Source organism: Homo sapiens, chromosome 2, assembly GCF_000001405.40.
Source record: "Homo sapiens chromosome 2, GRCh38.p14 Primary Assembly".
In the NCBI taxonomy this organism is placed as follows: Eukaryota; Metazoa; Chordata; class Mammalia; order Primates; family Hominidae; genus Homo; species Homo sapiens.
Genome location: NC_000002.12, coordinates 69298213 through 69316730, shown reverse-complemented (window position 1 = coordinate 69316730; position 18518 = coordinate 69298213). Strand labels below are relative to the sequence as shown.

Below are 18518 nucleotides of genomic sequence, written 5' to 3'. Positions count from 1 at the left end.
ATAATTAGACTGACAGCTTATTTCCCAACTGCACCAGTGGAAACAAGGACAATGGAACTATTTCAAAGTGCTGAAAAAATAATTCATGAAACTGAATTTGAAGACTGATGGGAAAAATGTGCTATCTGATGAATAAAAACTGGGACTCTCACTAAAATCTTCCAAAGATAAATGCTAAGGTGATGGAAAATGATCCCACAAAGGCTTAAGATACAACATAATGAATGGTGGCTGGGTGTGGTGGCACATACCTGTAGTCCCAGTTACTCAGGAGGCTGAGGCAGCAGGATCACTTAAGCCAAGGAGTTCAAGGCTGTAGTGGACTATGATCATGCCTGTGAATAGCCACTGCACTCCAGCCTGAGCAACATAGCAAGATCCCATCTCTTTAAAAAATAAAAAAGAATGGTGAGCGAAACAAAACAAAACACTTTTAAGTGAGGGTAAATCTAAAGCACTAACGGTCTAAAACAGTAATATTTTAGGAGCTATAAAACAATCCATAATGAACTAAAATGCTAGACAATAATATTGTAACTTAGGAGTAGATGAGCAGGGTTAAAACATAAGGCTCTTTTTATGATGTGGCAAGAGGGTAAAGATAACTTCTGACTTTGTGAAGTTAAATATGGATATTTAAACTTTTATGAAAACTAAGATTAGAGAATATAGTTCCCAAAGTAACAGAAGAAAAAAAATGGAATTTAGGAAATCCAAGTACATTGGTAATAATCACAACAAGTATAGAAGACATCTAAAACACAGGGACACAGAAAAGTTGAATGTGAAAGGCTGGAAAAAGGTACACCAGGCAAATCCCAACCCAAGGAAAGATGGCAAGCTACATGAATATGACAAGATAGACTGTAAGTGAAAATGACTTATTTGAAAATAGTGCGTCTTCCATGGAAAAGTTTGGTAGCTTCTCAAAAAGTTAAACATGGAATTACCATACGAACCAGCAGTTCCACTCCTAGGTATATACCCAATAGAACTGAAAACAGAAACTCAGGTACTTGTACACCAATGTTTATATCAGGATTACTTATAACAGCCAAAAGGCGGAAACAACCCAAGTGTCCATCAACGAATGAATAAAGGAAATGTGATATATACACACAATGGAATACTACTGAGTCATAAAGAGGAATGAAGTCCTGATACACTCCAAATCATAGCTGAACCTTGAAAACATAAGCAAAATAAGCCAGACATTAACGAACAAATATTATATGATTCCATTTATATAAAATATCTACAATAGGCAAATTCATAGAGACAGAAAGTAAATTAGAGATTACCAGAGGCTTGAAAGAGGAAAAAATGGGGAGTTATTGCTTAATAGATACAGAGTTTCCATTTTGGGTGATGAAAACTTTTGAAGATGGATAGTGGTGATCATTGCACAACATTGTGAATGTAATTAGTGCCACTGGATTGTACACTGAAGAATGGTTAAAATGGCAAATTTTATGTTATATGTATTTTACCACAATAAAAACAGTTTAAGACTGGATGTAGTGGCTCGTGCCTGTAATCCAAGCACTTTGGGATGCTGAGGCTGGAGGATCACTTGAGCTCAGGAGTTTATACCAGCCTGGGCCACATAGTGAGTTCCTGTGTCTACAAAACAAACAAAAAACCAAAACCCTTAACTGGGTGTGGTGGTGCATCTGTGGTCCCAGCTACTCAGGAGGCTGAGGTAGAAGGATCACTTGTGCCAGGAGCTTGAGTCTACAGTGAGCTATGATTGTACCACTGCACTCCAGCCTGGGTAACAGAGCAAGACCCTGTCCCAAAAAAAGTTTAAAAAAGCATTACTAGAGACAAAAATTGTTACCATCAAATGATAAAAGTTTCAATTCAACAGGTATTGCATTTAACACTTTTGCCAAATGGTGAATAAATCTTTGTCTCTCATTATGGTTTTAATTTATATTTCCTTTTTTTCTTTTTTTGGAGATGGAGTCTTGCTCTGTCACCCAGGCTGGAGTGCAGTGGCGCCATCTCGGCTCACTGCAACCTCTGCCTCCCGGGTTCAAGCGATTCTCTTGCCTCAGCCTCCCGAGTAGCTGAGACTACAGGTGAGCGCCACCACGCCCAGCTGATAGTTTGTATTTTTAGTAGAGACGGGGTTTCACCATTTTAGCAAGGATGGTCTCGATCTCCTGACCTCATGATCCGCCCACCTCAGCCTCCCAAAGTGCTGGGATTACAGGCGTGAGCCACTGTGCCTGGCCTATATTTCCTTGATTATTAATGATTTGAGCATCTTTTCATATGTGTATTGACTGCTTTTTTTGGTGATGAATCTGATCAAATCTTTTTAAAATCAGTTTTTAAAAATTGGATGATTTATTGTTTACTTTTTAACTTGGAGGGGTTTTTTACATATTCTGAATTCTAGTTCTTTGTTGTGTATTGCAAATATGTTCTCCCCTTTGTGACCTGTCTTTTCATTCTCTTTTTCGTATTGTATAGAAATTCTTAACTTTAATGTAGTCAAATTGATTACTTATTTTCCCTGATTTGTGCTTTTATGTAACTTGTTCAAGGAATCCTTCCTAGGTCTTAAACATATCCTCCTGTATTGTTTTCTAAAACCCTTAAAGCTTTTCCTTTCATCCTTGGATTTTTAGTTCACCTGAAATGGATTTTAAGTTTGATATGATGTAGGAATTCATTTTAACTTTTTTTTTTTTTTTTTTTGGCCGGGCATGGTGGCTCATGCCTGTAATCCCAGCACTTTAGGAGGCCGAGGTGGATAGATCTCTTGACGTCAGGAGTTCGAGACCAGCCTGGCCAACATTACAAAATCCCGTCTGCATTAAAAATACAAAAATTAGCCAGGCATAGTGGCGGGCGCCTGTAATCCTGGCTACTCGGGAGGCTTAGGCATGAGAATCGCTTGAACCTGGGAGGCAGAGGTTGCAGTGAGCCAAGGTCACGCCATTGCACTCCAACCTGGGTGATAGAGCCAGTCAGTCTCAAAAAGAAAAAAAACAAAAACAACAACAAAAAAAACACTTTTTTTTTTAATGAAGATATCCTATTTCCCAGCATGTTTATCAAAAATCCCATCCTTTCCCAATTTCTCTGCAACGTCACCTCTCATATCAAGTGTTCATATAAGTGGGTTTGTTTCCATGGGCTATTTGTCTCTGTACCAATTCAACACTGTCTGCATTATGTAGCTTTATAAGAAGTCTTGATATCTGGTAGGGCAACCCTCCTTTTCTCACTGTTTTTCTTCAAGAATATCTTGGCTATTCTTTTTCTTTTCAATTTATATAAGGATTTTAGAAGCAGCTTGTCAAGTTACACAACTGCTGAGGTTTTTATTGGAATTGCCTTAATATTATAGATGAATATGGGGAGAATTGGCAGTTTTACAATGTTGAGCCTTCCAGGCTATGCATGTGGTTTGAGCACATCTCTGCTTATTTGTGTCTCATTAATGACTCTACATTTCTATAATTTTTATCCATAGAGTCTGTTGTAGACTGAATAATGACTTCCAAAGATATCAGGTCCTAACCCTGGGACCTTGTAAATGTTACCTTATATGGAAAAGAGTATTTGCAGATGTGATTGAGTTAAGGATCTTGGGATGCAGAGGTTTTCCTGGATTATTTGGGTGGGGCCTGTAGGTATCATTGTAAGAGGGAGGCAGAAGGAGATTTGACACAAAGAGGAGAAGGCACTTAACCACAGAGGTAGAAACTGGAGGGATGCAGCCACAAGCCAAGGAATGCCAGCAGCCACCAGAAGCTGGAAGGGACAAGAAAGATTTTTCCCATAGAGCTGCCATACCAGCATCCACTCAGTCATACTGACTTCGGACTTCTGGTCTCCAGAACAACTGTGAAAGGATAAATCTCTGTTGTTTTTAGGTCACCAAGTTAGTGGTAACTTGTTTCAGCAGCCACAGGAAACAATTCAGAGGCTTTGCACATCTTTCGTTATATTTATTCCTAGGTATTTGATATTTTCTGTTGTTCTTAAAATGATATATTTTTAAAAGCTGTTTGTTGCTGTTATGGAAAATCCAGTGAAATTTGCTGTGTTGATTTTTGTTTGCTGCAACTTTGCTAAACTTACTTGTTAATTCTAATGGATTTTTCTAGGTATATACTCATATTACCTGTGAATAACAGCACGTTTGTTTCTTTTCTTCTAATCTTTACGTATTTTTAAAAAATTGCTCTACAGTGCTGCCTAGGGCATCCATTACAGTTTGAACTGAAATGGTAATGGAAACATCTTTGTTTTGTCCCTGATCTCAAAGGAAAGGTTTCAACATTTTATCATTATATTTACTGTAGACTTTTGTAGATACTCTCTATCAGGTTAAGAACTTTTTTCTTCTTCTTCTTGGTTTCTAAGAGGTAGGGGGTTTTTTGTGTGTTGCTTTTTTGCTTTTGTTTTTGAGCAGGGTCTTGCTCTGTCACTCAGGCTGGAGTGCAGTGGCGTGATCCTGGCTCACTGCAACCTCCACCTCCCTGGTTCAAGCGATTCTCATGCCTCAGCCTCCCAAGTACCTGTGATTTCAGGTGCCTGCCACCACGCCTGGCTAATTTTTTTGTATTTTTAGTAGAGACAGGGTTTCACCATGTTGGCCAGGCTGGTTTTGAACTCCTGAGCTCAGGCAGTCTACCCGCCTCGGCCTCCCAGAGTGCTAGGATTACAGGTGTGAGCCACCACGCCTGGCCGAAACATCATCTTTAGATCTCATAGTTTTATTGTGTCCATTGTACAACCTCAGGCAAGAGTGTGCGGGAGCCACGACTCTGTCTTCCTGGAGGGGGAAATGTTCATTGAAATTTGTTCAGGAACCATTTTCTCTTTATATATGTGGACAGAGCCACTGAAATCTATTGTTTGAACCTTGGTATGGGAGGGAGCACTGTGTGCTCACGCAGACCTGGATCTCAGTGAAATAATAGGGGCAAAAGGACCTTGCATATAGTTGCTTATATATTTATAACACTTTGAAGAAAGTAATGATGTAAAAGTCCAGATTTATGCTAATATTTTGTTTAGCTTCTCTTTCCCTGCTCTGAGGATTGGTGCTAGAGCTAAAGAGAGAGACATCATTTTCTCAGTGTTATGTTTGGATTGAAACACCAGGATAAGCCAGTTTGCCCTTATCTGAAAGTCATTTTGATTCCCGTCTACCCTGGGTTGAGTTAGAAATGTGTGAAATGAATCCTGAGTTGAGGTGTGAAAAAGCAAATGAAGATCTTACACACATATTCATTGAAAGAATGTCTATAAAAGGGCTTTTAATGCTGCAATATAGGTAACATGTGTAATACCTGTAACATGTGGAAGGTAAAACTCATCAGAAATGTGAATGGGAAGTAGAAAATCAAGAGACAGAGACAGCATTATTTATTCTCTATTAAATGAAGAACTTTAAAAACGTTGAAAAGTAAGCAAAACTATGGCCAGCCAAGTAAGAGAAGCAGAGAAATACCAAAACTGACCAAACTCAATAAATAACTTTAACTTGGCTTATTGCAACATCACAGTATCTCTGCAGGTCTGGTTCCATATCAGGCTGTTTCCCTAATGTATCTCTAGGAGAACATTTCAAGTCAAAGACATACTTTATGCTCAGCCATAAATCTCATGCTTTATATGCTTGAAAATAATAAAAGTTCTAGAGTCGAGTTAATTTCACTTCTTTCTTTTATATTATTAATGCTCCCATCCTTTTGGAGATTGGAATGTGGAATGCAATGTGGCAAATATTAAAAAGTGGGAAAAGATGTAGGAAAATAATCTGATGTCAATTTTCTTTTCCCTTGGAGTGGAGCAATCCTTTCCCCCAGAGCTCAGGCCCAGCTTGGCTTCTCGGCAGCCTCAGGCGGCCACACGGAGAGGGTGGCTCTCCCACCTGCCTTCTTGAATGGGCTCTCTCGGATGGAGAGGTTGGAGAAGGGACCCCACTTGGGGCTAAGTGGATACAGATGTGCTTGGACATGTCGGAATGGGGCGGCCTGGCCACCCAAAAGACTTCTTGTGGGGAGGGCCTGAGGAGCTTCCTGCAGGGCAGAAATGATGAGTTTGCCCTCAGCCACAGGAGGAAGCTTAATGCGGAGAAGGGCCACCTGCCACCACTTGGACTGGCCCTGGGATCTGTGGCCGGGATCTTTGGTTGGCCGGGGCATGTGAGTAAACTCTAAGGTCATCTGCTGACAATGCCTGTGAGGCAGTGGGCACAGCGGCCTGGTTTGGGGCGTGTTTCTTGAGTGTAGCACAAAGGGAGGCGAGGGGCTCTCCTCGGAGCAGCCTCCTCACCCACCACCAAGTGCTTTGACTTCCAGGGACAGCACAGAGGTGATGCAGGTCCTATCGGGCCCTGTTGCGGAGACAAGCCGCCCTACGTCTGGCAGTGGATTTGTTCAGGGCCACATCCAGGCACACGACCCAGAGGACTCAGAGACCTCCTAGGAGGCAAGGCCCTTGCAAGCAAGTGGGAGAAACACCTGGAGCCAATGGGATCTGGGTTCCTGTGGGTCACATGTTAGTGTCATTTCATCGGCCCTGCAGGCTTGGGAGGCCCAAGGAAACTTGGGTTACATAAAAAGGGAAAAGCATACTGTAGTTTGGCAAACAAAATGCGTCTTTGTGTGTGAGAGTGTGTGTGAGAGAAATGAGCTTTCATTTAGAAGCATCGGCAGCGGTTCTAACTGGTTCCCAAGTCCTTTTAAAATGATATTTTCTGAGCCTGGAAACCAAGCAGGCAGATCATGGAATTTTGGCTGGAGATGTTTTTTTAAAAATGTAGGCTAGCAATGAAAAAGGAGGTGGTAATTTGGCTCTGAGGCCTTTACGGGCTGCAGAGCAAACCCAGCAGGGTTACCATGGCGGCGCTTCTACTGTTTATATAAACAAAGGTTTTTTTCCTGACAAACATACTTCATATTTAATAATCTTCAATCCACAGGGGCCTCTTCCCTCTCTTTGTGTGTCGCTAGTTCAAGCCATTTGGAACTGGGGAGAGTTTTATTATTGCATGTGGTTGTTTTCAGGCACCCAATACACTTCAGAATTAAGTGTTAAGTGCTGGTATCTTGAAGTGCAGGGTGAGAGGTAGTCCGTGATTGTAAGAGAGATGAACCTGCATGAGAAAATGCAAAACAGGCTTTTCCTGGGTCCAGAGTCTCCTGGGCCAGCCACACCCAGCATTCAGAAGTAGACACTGCCACAGTAATTCAGTTCACACTCCCAATACAACTTGCACAGCACCTACCACACCTCTCTGAGTGGCACCGCAGCCTTCAGATTACCACTGCCTGAGATGTCCACTTCCTGTTAGCCCATATCTAATTATGTGTGGAGACTTAACAAATCCTGTATTGTGAGAGGACTCCTCTGGTTATGGGTAACAGAAACCCTACTCTATGGAACTGAAGCACAAAAGGGGACTTAGAACTGGATCGTGTCACTGGAAATGCCAGGGTAACCTGGCTTCAGGAATCACCGACCCAGCTTGTGTGCCTGTATCCCAGATTCTGGCACATCTGACATAATCCCTGTGACCCTCCTCTCCATAGTTTCCCCATAGTCTCCAGGAAGACTCCGTCTTTTTAGACATGTTGGGTCTGACCTAAGGACTTTGAGTGTTCTCAGGCATTTCTCTAGGGACACAGAGTGACCAGAAATGCCAGCCAGCTTGGGCAAAGCCACTTGCCTTTTCCTCCCTCTGGAACATCCAGCCACCTCTCTAGACCTGCCCAGGAGCTCAGAGCAGCCTAGGAGGTCCTCTCAGTTGTTGCCCCCTCACTGTCCTCTGGGGTCTCCAGAGCCAGCAGGGAGTACTGAGGGTCCCTCCCAGCTGCAAGCTCCAGAATTCTCTACAGATGCCACTGCCAGGGTTACCCTGTGAATAAACTGGTTCTACTCCAAGGGTGTCACACGTGCATGATGTAGGTAGACATGGCATCGGGACTCCAATGATCCCAGACAGAATCTGCATGACCTCCTGTGAATATCGCCAGCAGCAGCCAATCTGTGGGTCCATATTTTGGCTTAATTCCCCCAGCTTTGGGGTCCTTCATAACGACAGGACATTGGTGTCCTCCTCCACCACTCCAAATGCCACAGGCATTTATCAAAGTCCCCAGGAGTTTGCGTGTGTGTTTAGGAAGAAGCCCATTACGTCTTCTGCGGGTCTGGGTTAGCAATCGTCTGCACCTGTTGTGCCCTCTCCTCAGGGCCCATGCCTTGCCCCGCAAGCTGGTCACCCCACAGCGGCTGCTCCTGAGGTATTACCAGGCTCAGTTCTTGCACTGAGTGGGGCTGGGACCACATACCACAGGGTCACTCTCTCATTCACTGCTCCACCATCTCCTTTCCACTAAACTTTCTTCTGCACTAAAAGATCCTCATATCCCCTGCCATGAACACCACAGCCATCTATTTCAGCAGGTGACCCCCTGTTAAACAGAGCCACCAGAGAGACCCCCAGGAGCACAGCGCTGGTTGGAGAACACCACAGCTGGGGTCTAGATGTCCTCATTCTCGGCCTTCTTCTTTTATACCCAAACGATGCTTTCTCTGTTAATAATATCTGAGAGAACTGTTGCTTAAAAATGTAAAACGAAACCACCGTGTAAATGGAGCGGGGTCTTCCTTGGAAAGTCTAACCTTGGGGGCACCTAGTTGATGTAAAGAAACCACTGGCTGTCAGAGGGGAAGGGGGATTTGAGGACAGCCGAGTCAGGGAGCGTGGAGCAGCCAGGCTTTGTGGCAGGGCCTTCCACAGGGGCATGCTGGAGCTCAGCACTGAGAGCACCGGGAAGAGAGGGACAGCAATGGGCACCTCAGCCCCTCAGCAGGAGAAGATGGCGACCGCCACAGTGGCCCAGACTCCTGGAACTTCTGAACTACTTGGTAATTGGTTGGAATTTTCGGGGGTCCGCAGAACCCACAGTTCTCCAGGTGGAGCCGAACCAGAAAAATGCTACTTTGTGGTGTTACTGTGACCCCCACCCCCGCGCCGTATCCACCCCAGGTGCATTGATTAGGAAGTTGGTTCTGGCTATTTAAAACAGTGCTGAAACAGGTGGGTGTGAGCGGGGGAGCGGAATCACACAAACCGCGCTGGTCACAGCAGAGGAGCGCCCCACACGACAGCCTTGCGGAGACGGGCAGCGGCCACACGGGGGCAGCGCCTTCCCAGCCTGAATGAGCACAGACGCCGCGAAGCCCCCGAGAGTCGAGAGGAAGCGCAGTTAAGGGGCGGCCACGCGTCTCGGCCCTGTGCCCTTCCTTACATTTCTCGCTCTGCGGGGCGCGCCATGCCTGCAAACACAGGGCATCAATGGTCTTGGGAGGCTGGAATGTGGGGTGTGCAGAATCCATCCAGCGCAGTCTAGGGCAGGACCCAAGGGACACCCTGTGGGGGTGCTCTGGGCTGGTCCCCTCCAAGCCCCTCTGCCCGCTCCCTGATCTCACTCAGATCGGTCCCCTCTCCCTCAGAGAGCGGCCCTTGAGCTTCAGGCACTTTTCTAGGCCCTGGGGGCACAGCCGTCCCGGGGCGCCGTCTGGAGGGCAGGGACAGTAGTGTCCCCGCAGCGCCTCCTACCTGCCACCACCTCCACCTGTGCCGGGAGCCCCAGACCCGCCGGCCGAGCCGGGTGCGGAAGAGGCTGCAGGCGCCCGGGGCCCGGCCTTCGGAAGTAGGGGTCGCAGAGGGGCTCCGGCCTTGCGGTATCTTGTGTCGGCCGCACCCCAGGGTGTGGCTCTGGAACGGGTAGTGGGGAAGCTGCGGCGGCGCGCAGTGATCCCAGCGGGGCGTCTGGAGACAACAGAAGGGGCGGTGCTCACGGGACCGGCGTCTTTCCCGGGGGCCACAGTCGGGCCAGCGGGGCATCTCTCCGGACGGCCCCTCCCCGCTCTCTCTGCTCGGATGTTCACGCTTCCACCCTCAGCGCGGGGCCGCCCTGCCTCCCCCTCCGGAGCCCCCAAGCGGGTGTCAAGGGCAGCCGCACCCACGCGGAAAGCTCAGTTTCCCCTCCTGTCCTTTAGGTTTCTGTGGCTTCTTTCTGCCTCCGTAGCTGGAGCCAGGACGTGGCCGTGGTCCGGGAGAGCTGCGCCCAGAGTCCCGGCTTCCTGCGTGAGGGGGAGCGGCTGGGAAGCGGGTTCCTGGCGGCTGGACCACCGCCCCAGGTGGGCGTGCGAACTCAGGGCCTGGATTCGCACACAGAGAGCCCTCCTACAGCTGTGCACGCCCCGCGCCGGCTCCCCTTCCTGGTTTTTGATGGATACAGCCGGTCCCAGGCCCACCAGTTTAAATGAGTTTAAATCCCCACGCAGCCGACATTGAGGAGAGAATTCAGGAAGCTGGCACGGCTGCATCTCCAGCCAGAAGGTTTTGTGTCTGACATTTGATTGCAAATTGCAACGTTTCAAGGCTTTATAGCTCAGGGGTTGAAGGCAGGAGAGGGAGCCTATCTGTAAATATCTTTCTCCTTAAAATGTGGTCTCTCCCGCCTCTCTTCCTTTTGGCTCCTTTCCTTTTTTTTGGCACAGGAAGATGGCTGAGGTCAGCGAGGCTGGGTTGTTTCCCTGTCCACAGCGCATTAGGGACCAGAAAAGAATGTTGGTGTCTCTAAGGTGAGCTGCTGTCGCCTCAGGGTCCCGGGCTGGGGGTGACAAGGGCTAAGCTAAGACGAGGCCCCTAGGTGAGTGGATTTTGCATTGATTTGGAAGCTGGTTCAGGCTATTCAAAACAGTGCTGAATTCTTTGATGTTGAGGTCGCTTTGGACCTCGAGGTCCCACTTATGCCGGCTTCTTGCTCCAGGAGCGACGGCCCTGGTAGAGAAAGGGAAGTCGCGCAGCCTCTCAGGTGGCCAGGTCTCCCGCTAACCCCCACTGGCAGCTTGTCTGAGGTCTGACTGCAGAGCTGTCCGAAAGGAGCTGGGCTAGGAGATGCCAGTGGGATGTCCCAGCCACACAAAACTGCAGGCAGAAATGGGTTGACCATGCCTCAGTCTTGACTGCCCCACCCATTGCCCACCCCAGTGCCTGACCAGCTTGCAATGACTTGACCAGTACATGTGACCCTCAGCAGCCACCTGCTAATATAAGCTCCCATTTCAATCCACTTCACATGCCACCTGCCCATTCAGGACCCTCACCTCCAACGCCCCCCCCCCCCCCACCCCTTGCTGCAGCATGCCTCAACTCCCCAGGCCTTGCTCAGCCTGCTGTCTTAGAAGAACTGGTCGTGTGTGGTCCAGGGCTCTGGGCTCTGGCCTCTGCATCGTGTCAGCACGTGGCTGCCCTGGGCTGGAAGAGGGACGCTGCTGTCCCTTCTGGTATTCTGGGCAAGGGGATGAGGAGGCTTTTCTCCAAGGCCCTGTAACGCAGCTGAGATCAGGCTGAAATTTTTAGCAGGACCGTCCTGGAGGCTTGGACAAGCACAGGGCAGTGAGGTGCAGTCCACCTCCCAGGGTGGTGGCTACTAGGGCCATAGGAGCATCCTTGGGGAGATGGGGACCCCCCGCAGAGTTGTAGCTGCCATCATCTCTCCCCCAGAGAGAGGGTTCTACCTGCTCTCTATATTCAGGAGAGAGGATGAGGACTTCCATTCACCTTTGGGACAGCCTTTACTTTGTCCCCGGGCCCAAAGAGAAGAGGAAATTCCTTTTTCCTGCAGCCCGGGACTCAGATCCTCTCATTTCTGTGCCTTGGTCTGTCTGTGCCTAGGACACTTGACAGTGGGGTTCATCCAGTTGCGGAGAGAGAGAGGGACAGTAGCCCCATCCTCAGCGACAGCAGCCCCACCCTCAGCGACAGCCCCACCCTGGGCCCTGCAGGCTGCGCTCCACAGAGCCACAGCTGCTATCAGCGCACTCGGGTATCAGCCGCGCACGGGGGGATGTCGGGAGCTCAGTGCATTCCTTTCCCTCCACCCACCCTCAGATCAGGCAGCACTCATGTCTGCCTGGAACATCTGCGTTCAGATTCCTGGAGGCTTCGCAGTTACCTTCAGGGATAATGTGGGCATTTGCTTCACTCAAGATGGTTTTCCTAGAAAAGGGCAAATCTGACTCTGGGGTGAATTTAGGCATCAACTCATATGGAAGTAAACTGCTGGATCCTTGAAGTACAGCTTATGCAGAGTTTAAAAATTCTCCAGGTTTGGGTCCAAGCTACAGCATCACTTTCCATGGCTTTCTCTCCTCTCATCTGTCTCCTATTCTCCACCCTAGCTATTTGAAAGCTCCCCATTCCTCTCAATTCTCCTACCACCCCCTTCCCCAACTGCCTGCCCTCAATTCTGGGTGGCTGCCCTAATTTGGGGTGAAAATAGAAGCCAGCAATCCACCATCCCTCAGCTTCCCATCGACTCACCTGCACAAAGAGGCATGGTGGCTCCTAGCCTCTCCTTTTCTCCTGTCACACTGGAGAAGGCTCACCACCCTGCCAAACCTGGCCCTCCTGCATCTGGGAGGAGGAGGCAGGCAGCAGGAGGCTCTGTAGGCAGCCTCTAAAAAGACCCTGGCTTCCATCTTGCTTGCCCTGTCCTGCTCTTTGACTTGCTCACTCTGCTGAAAGCTGGGTACTGTGTTGTGAGCTGCCCTGCGGAGAAACTTGTGAGGCAAGGAGCTGAGTTCTTTGGTTCAATAGCCTGTAAATAACTGAATTCTGCCAATAACCACATGAAGGGCTTGGAAGTGAGCCCTCCTCCCTCAGATGAGCCTTCAGATGAGACCACATCCCAGCTGACTGCAGCCTCATCACAGACCCTGAGCCCAAGGACCCAGCTACACCAGTTCAGATTCTTGACTCACAGGAATTGTGAGAAAATAAATGTTTATTATTTTCAACTGCAAAATTTGGGAATAATTTGTTACACAGCTATAGATAATGAATACAATGGTTCTCAGACTTGTTAATTTCTCAGCCCTGAAAATTTTGGAAAAAATTGGGGATTCATATAAATTTCCCAGCTTTTTATTTTACAAAATATGTCTTGAAAAATGATAACCACTCTTTTCTTTCCTTATTGTTGTTATAAATGAAGGATCAACATTTCATTTTAATTATTTTTTATGTAGGTATTATTTTCACTTTGGGAGGCCAAAGTAGGAGGATCATTTGAGGCTAGGAGTTGGAGACCAGCCTGTGCAACATAGTGAAACCTCATCTCAATGAAAAAGGTATTATTTTCATACAGTACAATTTGTCTGTTTAAAATCTGAAGGTCAAAAGTAGTTGCTGCAATTTCCCAGCCAACAGGAAGGGAGAGGATGTGTCCATAGCAGATGTCTTCAAGCAAATAGCTTTGAAATTTCACACCTAACTTTTGCTGAGATATCATTGGCTCAAAATAAGTCACACAAGCAACCCAGCTGTATGGCAGGCTGGGAAATGTAGACTCTAGTTGGTTAATTAAATGCCCACTTAAAAGCCAGGGGATTCTATTATTATGGAAGGAGACAGTTCTGTGTTGTCTTCTAAATTGTCAGCCTCTGCCTCTCTTCTGGATTCTATCCATCAGCATGTCATGGGCTTCTCATTTAAAAAAGCACCTCCTTTGACTGCACACGCCGCACGCTCCTTGTTAGCACCTGCCCTTCCTCTTCCTTAAACTCTTTTCCCTTTTTCCTCACTTCCATTCACTCCTCAACCCTAGGCAGTACAGCTATTCCCTGACACTCCTCTGAGACCAGTGGTCTTTTTTTGTTGAATTCATTCTTTTCAGAGCCTCCCTTACTGGCTGTCTCTGTAGCTTCCAGCACGTTGATACTCTCTCCTGGAATACTCTGTGTCCTTCACTTATTTGCTTTTATAGCCTCATGTTTTCTACATTAATTGTAGTCACTCATAGACAGCCCCTGCTATGAATGACTCCTTTTCTGCTTTCTTCTTCCTTTTTTTTTTTTTTTTTTTTTTTTTTGGAGATGGAGTTTTGCTCTTGTTATCCAGGCTGGAGTGCAATGGCACGATCTCAGCTCACCACAACCTCTGCCTCCTGGGTTCAAGCAATTCTCCTGCCTCAGCCTCCTGAGTAGCTGGGATTACAGGCATCCACCACCATGCCCAGCTAATTTTTTTTTTTTTGTATGTTTAGTACAGACAGGGTTTCACCATATTGGCCAGGCTGGCCTTGAACTCCTGACCTCAGGTGATCCACCCACCTCAGCCTCCCAAAGTGCTGGGATTACAGGTGTGAGCCACTGCGCCTGGCCCTTTTCTGCCTTCTATTATCTCTCAGCATTTCCCAGGGCACTTTCATCTTATTTTCTCCTTCCACTCCATACACTTATTCTGAGCAGATCCACTTCTAGGATAAACCAGTTAGGATTGTGTTTAGCTGCATGTAACAGAAACCCAGCAAATAGTGGCCAGCACAAGCAGGGGGTTAATTTCTAATGAAGCAGGGAGTCTGGGGGCTGGCCAAGACCAGGGCTCATTAGGCCCCTTCTGTATTCTGCTTTGCCATCTTTAATGTGTGGCTATTTTCCCATGGTGCAAGATGGCTGCCACATCCTCAGGCATCACGTCTACATTCCAGGCATGAAGAAGGAAAAGGGAAAAGGGCAGGAGGCAAAGGGAGGGTGCTGACTGAGTCTGTTACATTTTATAAAGGCTATCTCAGGAGGCCTCCCAGTGCCTTCCACCCCCATTTCACAACCAGGTCCTGTGGCCTGCCCTAGGTACTACAGTGTCATAGGAAATGAGTTATTTAGCTGGGCACAGTGCAGACCAAAACAAAACCAGGGGTCGTGGTGTTAATAAGAAAGAAAGAGAAGATAATAAGTGGGTGGGAAAGCAGCCATGGGTGCCACCCATGACTTTAATTGGCATCTATCTGCTGATAACTCAAAAAAATTCATATCTTTTATACAAATGGCCAGTAAGCACATGAAACAATACAAAACATCACTAATCACTAGGGAAATGTAAATAAAAACCATGATGAGATACCACTTCACAATCCTTAAGATAGCCATTGTTTTAAGTAAACTCAAAACAAGTGTACAGATGTGGAGAATTTGGAATTCTTGTGCATTGCTGGTGGGAATGTAAAACGGTGTAGCGTGTCCGAAAAACAGTCTGGCAATTCACCCAAAATTAAACATAGAATTACCATAGGATCTGGCAATTCCACTTCTAGGTATATATCCCAAGTAATTGATGGCAGGGACTTGAATAAACATTTGTGCACCCATGTTCATAGAAGCATTATTCATAATAGCCAGAAGGTGGAAACAACCCAAATGTCCATTAACAGATGAATGGATAAACAAAAGGTGTGTGTGCATGCAATGGAATATTATTTAGCCTTAAAAAGCAATAAAGGTTATTGATTTATTGATTTATTTACTTATTTTTTGAGATGGAGTTTTTGCTCTGTTGCCCAGGCTGGAGTGCAATGGCACCATCTTGGCTCACTGCAACCTCCGCCTTCTGGGTTCAAGCAATTCACCTGGCTCAGCTGGGACTACAGGTGCCCACCAACATGCCTGGCTAATTTTTGTATTTTTAGTAGAGACAGGGTTTCACCCTGTTGGCCAGGATGGTATCTAACTCTTGACCTCAGGTGATCCTCCTGCCTCGGCCTCCCAAAGTGCTGGGATTACAGGTGTGAGCCATTGCACCCCGCCTGAAAAAGCAATGAAGTTCTGACACATGGTACAACATGGATGACCCTTGAAGACATTATACTAACTGAAACAAGTCAGACACAAAAGGACAAATATTGTATGATTCCACTTACACGAGGTACCTGGAATAGGCAAGTTCATAGAGAATAAAGTAGAAGGTAGAACAGAGGTTACCGGGGCTGGAGAGAGGGGGGAATGGGGAGTTATTGCTTAATGAGTACAGACAGAGTTTCGGTTTTGCAAGATGAAGAGTTCTGGAGGTGGATGGTAGTGATGGTTGCACAATAATGTGCATGTACTTAACACTACTGAACTATATACTTAAAATGGTTAAAATGGTATTTTTTTTGAGACAGGGTCTCTGGAATCTCACTATATTGCCCAGGCTGGTCTCAAACTCCTGGGCTTAAGCAATCCTCCCACCTCAGCCTCCTGAGTAGTTGGAACTACCTGCCACCCTGTCTGACTTAAAATGGTAAATTTTATGTTATATGTATGTTACCATAATTTAAAAAAACTCCCTATCTTCAGTTTTGAACCCTCATACTTTCAAGGCTTGTCTATTCAAGCACTGGACATTTGGCTTGGATGTCACCTTAAACTCTATACCCAGAACTGAACTCATGAAGTCCCACGCTGGGCTCTATGTGTTACCTCTCTGAGGTCACATTCACAAGCTTTGTCACTGGCCTGCAAAGCTTTATACCTTGCCAAGACGGGAGTGCCCAGAGCTCCACCTCCCTCTGGAATAGGAGGGTCTTGGAAGGTTCTGGTCTCAGCCCCAGGTCCAGGGGGCCCAGGCTTCCTTATCAAGTCCAGATCATCATCCCCCGCCCTTCCAAAAACAAACAAAACACCTCCTTTCTCTTTCCCTCCCAAATTCCTTTTCAGAGCCCTTGGTGTCTTTTCCTGCTTTGATCTTGGGGGAAGACCATCCTGTCCATGTTGCCAGATTTTGGACAAGAGGTTGGGCTCTGCCCTTGGGACAAGGGCAAGCTGCTCTACCCTTTTCCAGAACAATGCCTGTCAAGGAGTCTCAGGGTGGGGAAAGCCTTGTCAAGCACGCAGGGTTCTGTCACACCCTTCCTCAGGACCAGGAGCTTCCCTGGGGGAGGATGTATGAGCCAGCATCCTTCCTGGTCAGCTGTTGTTGACTATGACCCCAGCCTGGGACTGTGAGTGCCTACCCTCTGCACATTTGCAAACAGCTGGTCTGCTGGCTCCTGTGAGGAGAAAGATATACTCCAAAGGGACTTGTAGTGTCTGCCTACATATGAAAAAGTCTGGTGTCCTGTAGAAATTTCTGCTTCACCTGGCACTTCTACAAACAAAATGTAAAGCAATTCTTGGCCAGGCAAGGTGGCTCATGCCTGTAATTCAAGCATTTCAAAAGGCCAAGGCTGGAGCATCACTTGAGGCCAGGAATTCAAGACCATGCTGGGCAATATAGTGAGACCCTCTCTCTACAAAAAATATAAACATGAACCAGGCATGGTAATGTGCGCTTGTGGTCCCAGCTACTCGGGAGGCTGAAGCGAGAGGATCACTTGAGCTCAGGGAGTCAAGGCTGCAGTGAGCCCTGATTGCACTACTGCACTTCAGCCTGGGAGACAGAGCAAGACTCTGTCTCAAATAAAAATAAAAATAAAAAGATAACTCACCAGGAGACATGCTAATTAACAATGAAGACGGGGAAGAGACTGAGATTTGGGGACATTTCTGATCCTATCAGCCATAAGCCATTAGCTCAGGCACACACACGATCTTGTTTATTAGACCCGAAAGCCTGATTGAAAGGTATTTGTTATCTCCTGCTGCATAACAGATTCCCCTGAAACTTAGTGGTTCAAAATAACATTTATTATCTCATAGTTTCTGTGGGTTAGGAATACAGAATGGCTTGACAGGGTTCTCTGGCTCAGGGTCTCACAATCTGCGATTAAAGCCTCAGCTGGGGCTGCAGTCATCTCAAGGCTCTCCAGGGTAGGATCCTCCTCCAAGTGCACTCGCTGAGTGTTGGTGAGAATCAGCTCATCGCTGGCTGTTGGCCAGAGGCCACCTCAGTTCCTTGCCATGGGGGCCTCTCTGTAGGGTAGCTCACAGTAGCAGCCAGAGTGAGCACACTGGAGGGGCCAGAGAGAGTGTGAGCAGGAGGGTGGTCAGTCTTTTATACCCCAAGCATGATTTTGCTGTATTCTCTTAATTAGAAGCAGCTCCGTAGGTCTAGCCCCCATGCAAGGGGAGGAGACTAACCAGGGCACAAATACCAGGAGCTGGGGGTTATTGGGAGTCATTTTAAAAGCATCTCACCATACTTGCTAAATAGCCACTGAGTTCTCTTTTGGCTTTGGATATTTTGTCTTGCAGGGAACTTTGGTCAATCAGAGGTTAGGAGGTGGAGAAATAAGCAGACACAGGTCCATGCAGTTCCCCCTGCCTTTCCCGGTAGCTGTCTTTCCCACTTGTGTTGATTTCAGCATTTTCAGACACAGATGGTGAGGTTGCGCATGTGTGTGAAGGGCCAGGGTTTCTCCTTGGCCTCTGAAGAAGAAAAGCGCAGTGGTTCTTAGGGCTGCCTTCCCTCTCCTTGCTCTGACTCGCCCTGGTGGTTTGGCCTTGCTCTGTGGTTTGTTTACATGGCTGGGCAAGGAAGATGACTTACCCTATCCAGGCTCCTAAGCCACATGGAGCCCTGGCAGGGCTGATTTCAAAGTGAATCATCAGTCAAAATAAGTCCTAACCAATGCCATGAGCAAACGTCCATGTCCGTGGGGACAGTGTCTTTCCTGCAGACGCACATGACAAATCACACTTCTGTGTCTTTGCATGTGCTGTTCCCCATCTGAAAACCCCATCCTACCAGCCCATCCATCCTTGCAGGTGCC

General features: G+C 47.2%; 4 annotated features.

Annotated features, from left to right (window-relative positions):
- Positions 5726-6228: an enhancer, noted in NCBI's record as "H3K4me1 hESC enhancer chr2:69537635-69538137 (GRCh37/hg19 assembly coordinates)". NCBI's record gives its function as "activates a minimal SCP1, AML or CMV promoter by ChIP-STARR-seq in primed H9 embryonic stem cells {active_cell/tissue: H9 hESC(primed)}" and the evidence as "EXISTENCE:reporter gene assay evidence [ECO:0000049][PMID:30033119]".
- Positions 9344-9393: an enhancer, noted in NCBI's record as "active region_15969". NCBI's record gives its function as "activates an Ori minimal core promoter by ATAC-STARR-seq in GM12878 lymphoblastoid cells {active_cell/tissue: GM12878}" and the evidence as "EXISTENCE:reporter gene assay evidence [ECO:0000049][PMID:35858748]".
- Positions 9624-9773: a silencer, noted in NCBI's record as "silent region_11594". NCBI's record gives its function as "represses an Ori minimal core promoter by ATAC-STARR-seq in GM12878 lymphoblastoid cells {active_cell/tissue: GM12878}" and the evidence as "EXISTENCE:reporter gene assay evidence [ECO:0000049][PMID:35858748]".
- Positions 9879-10618: an enhancer, noted in NCBI's record as "H3K4me1 hESC enhancer chr2:69533245-69533984 (GRCh37/hg19 assembly coordinates)". NCBI's record gives its function as "activates a minimal SCP1, AML or CMV promoter by ChIP-STARR-seq in naive and primed H9 embryonic stem cells {active_cell/tissue: H9 hESC(naive and primed)}" and the evidence as "EXISTENCE:reporter gene assay evidence [ECO:0000049][PMID:30033119]".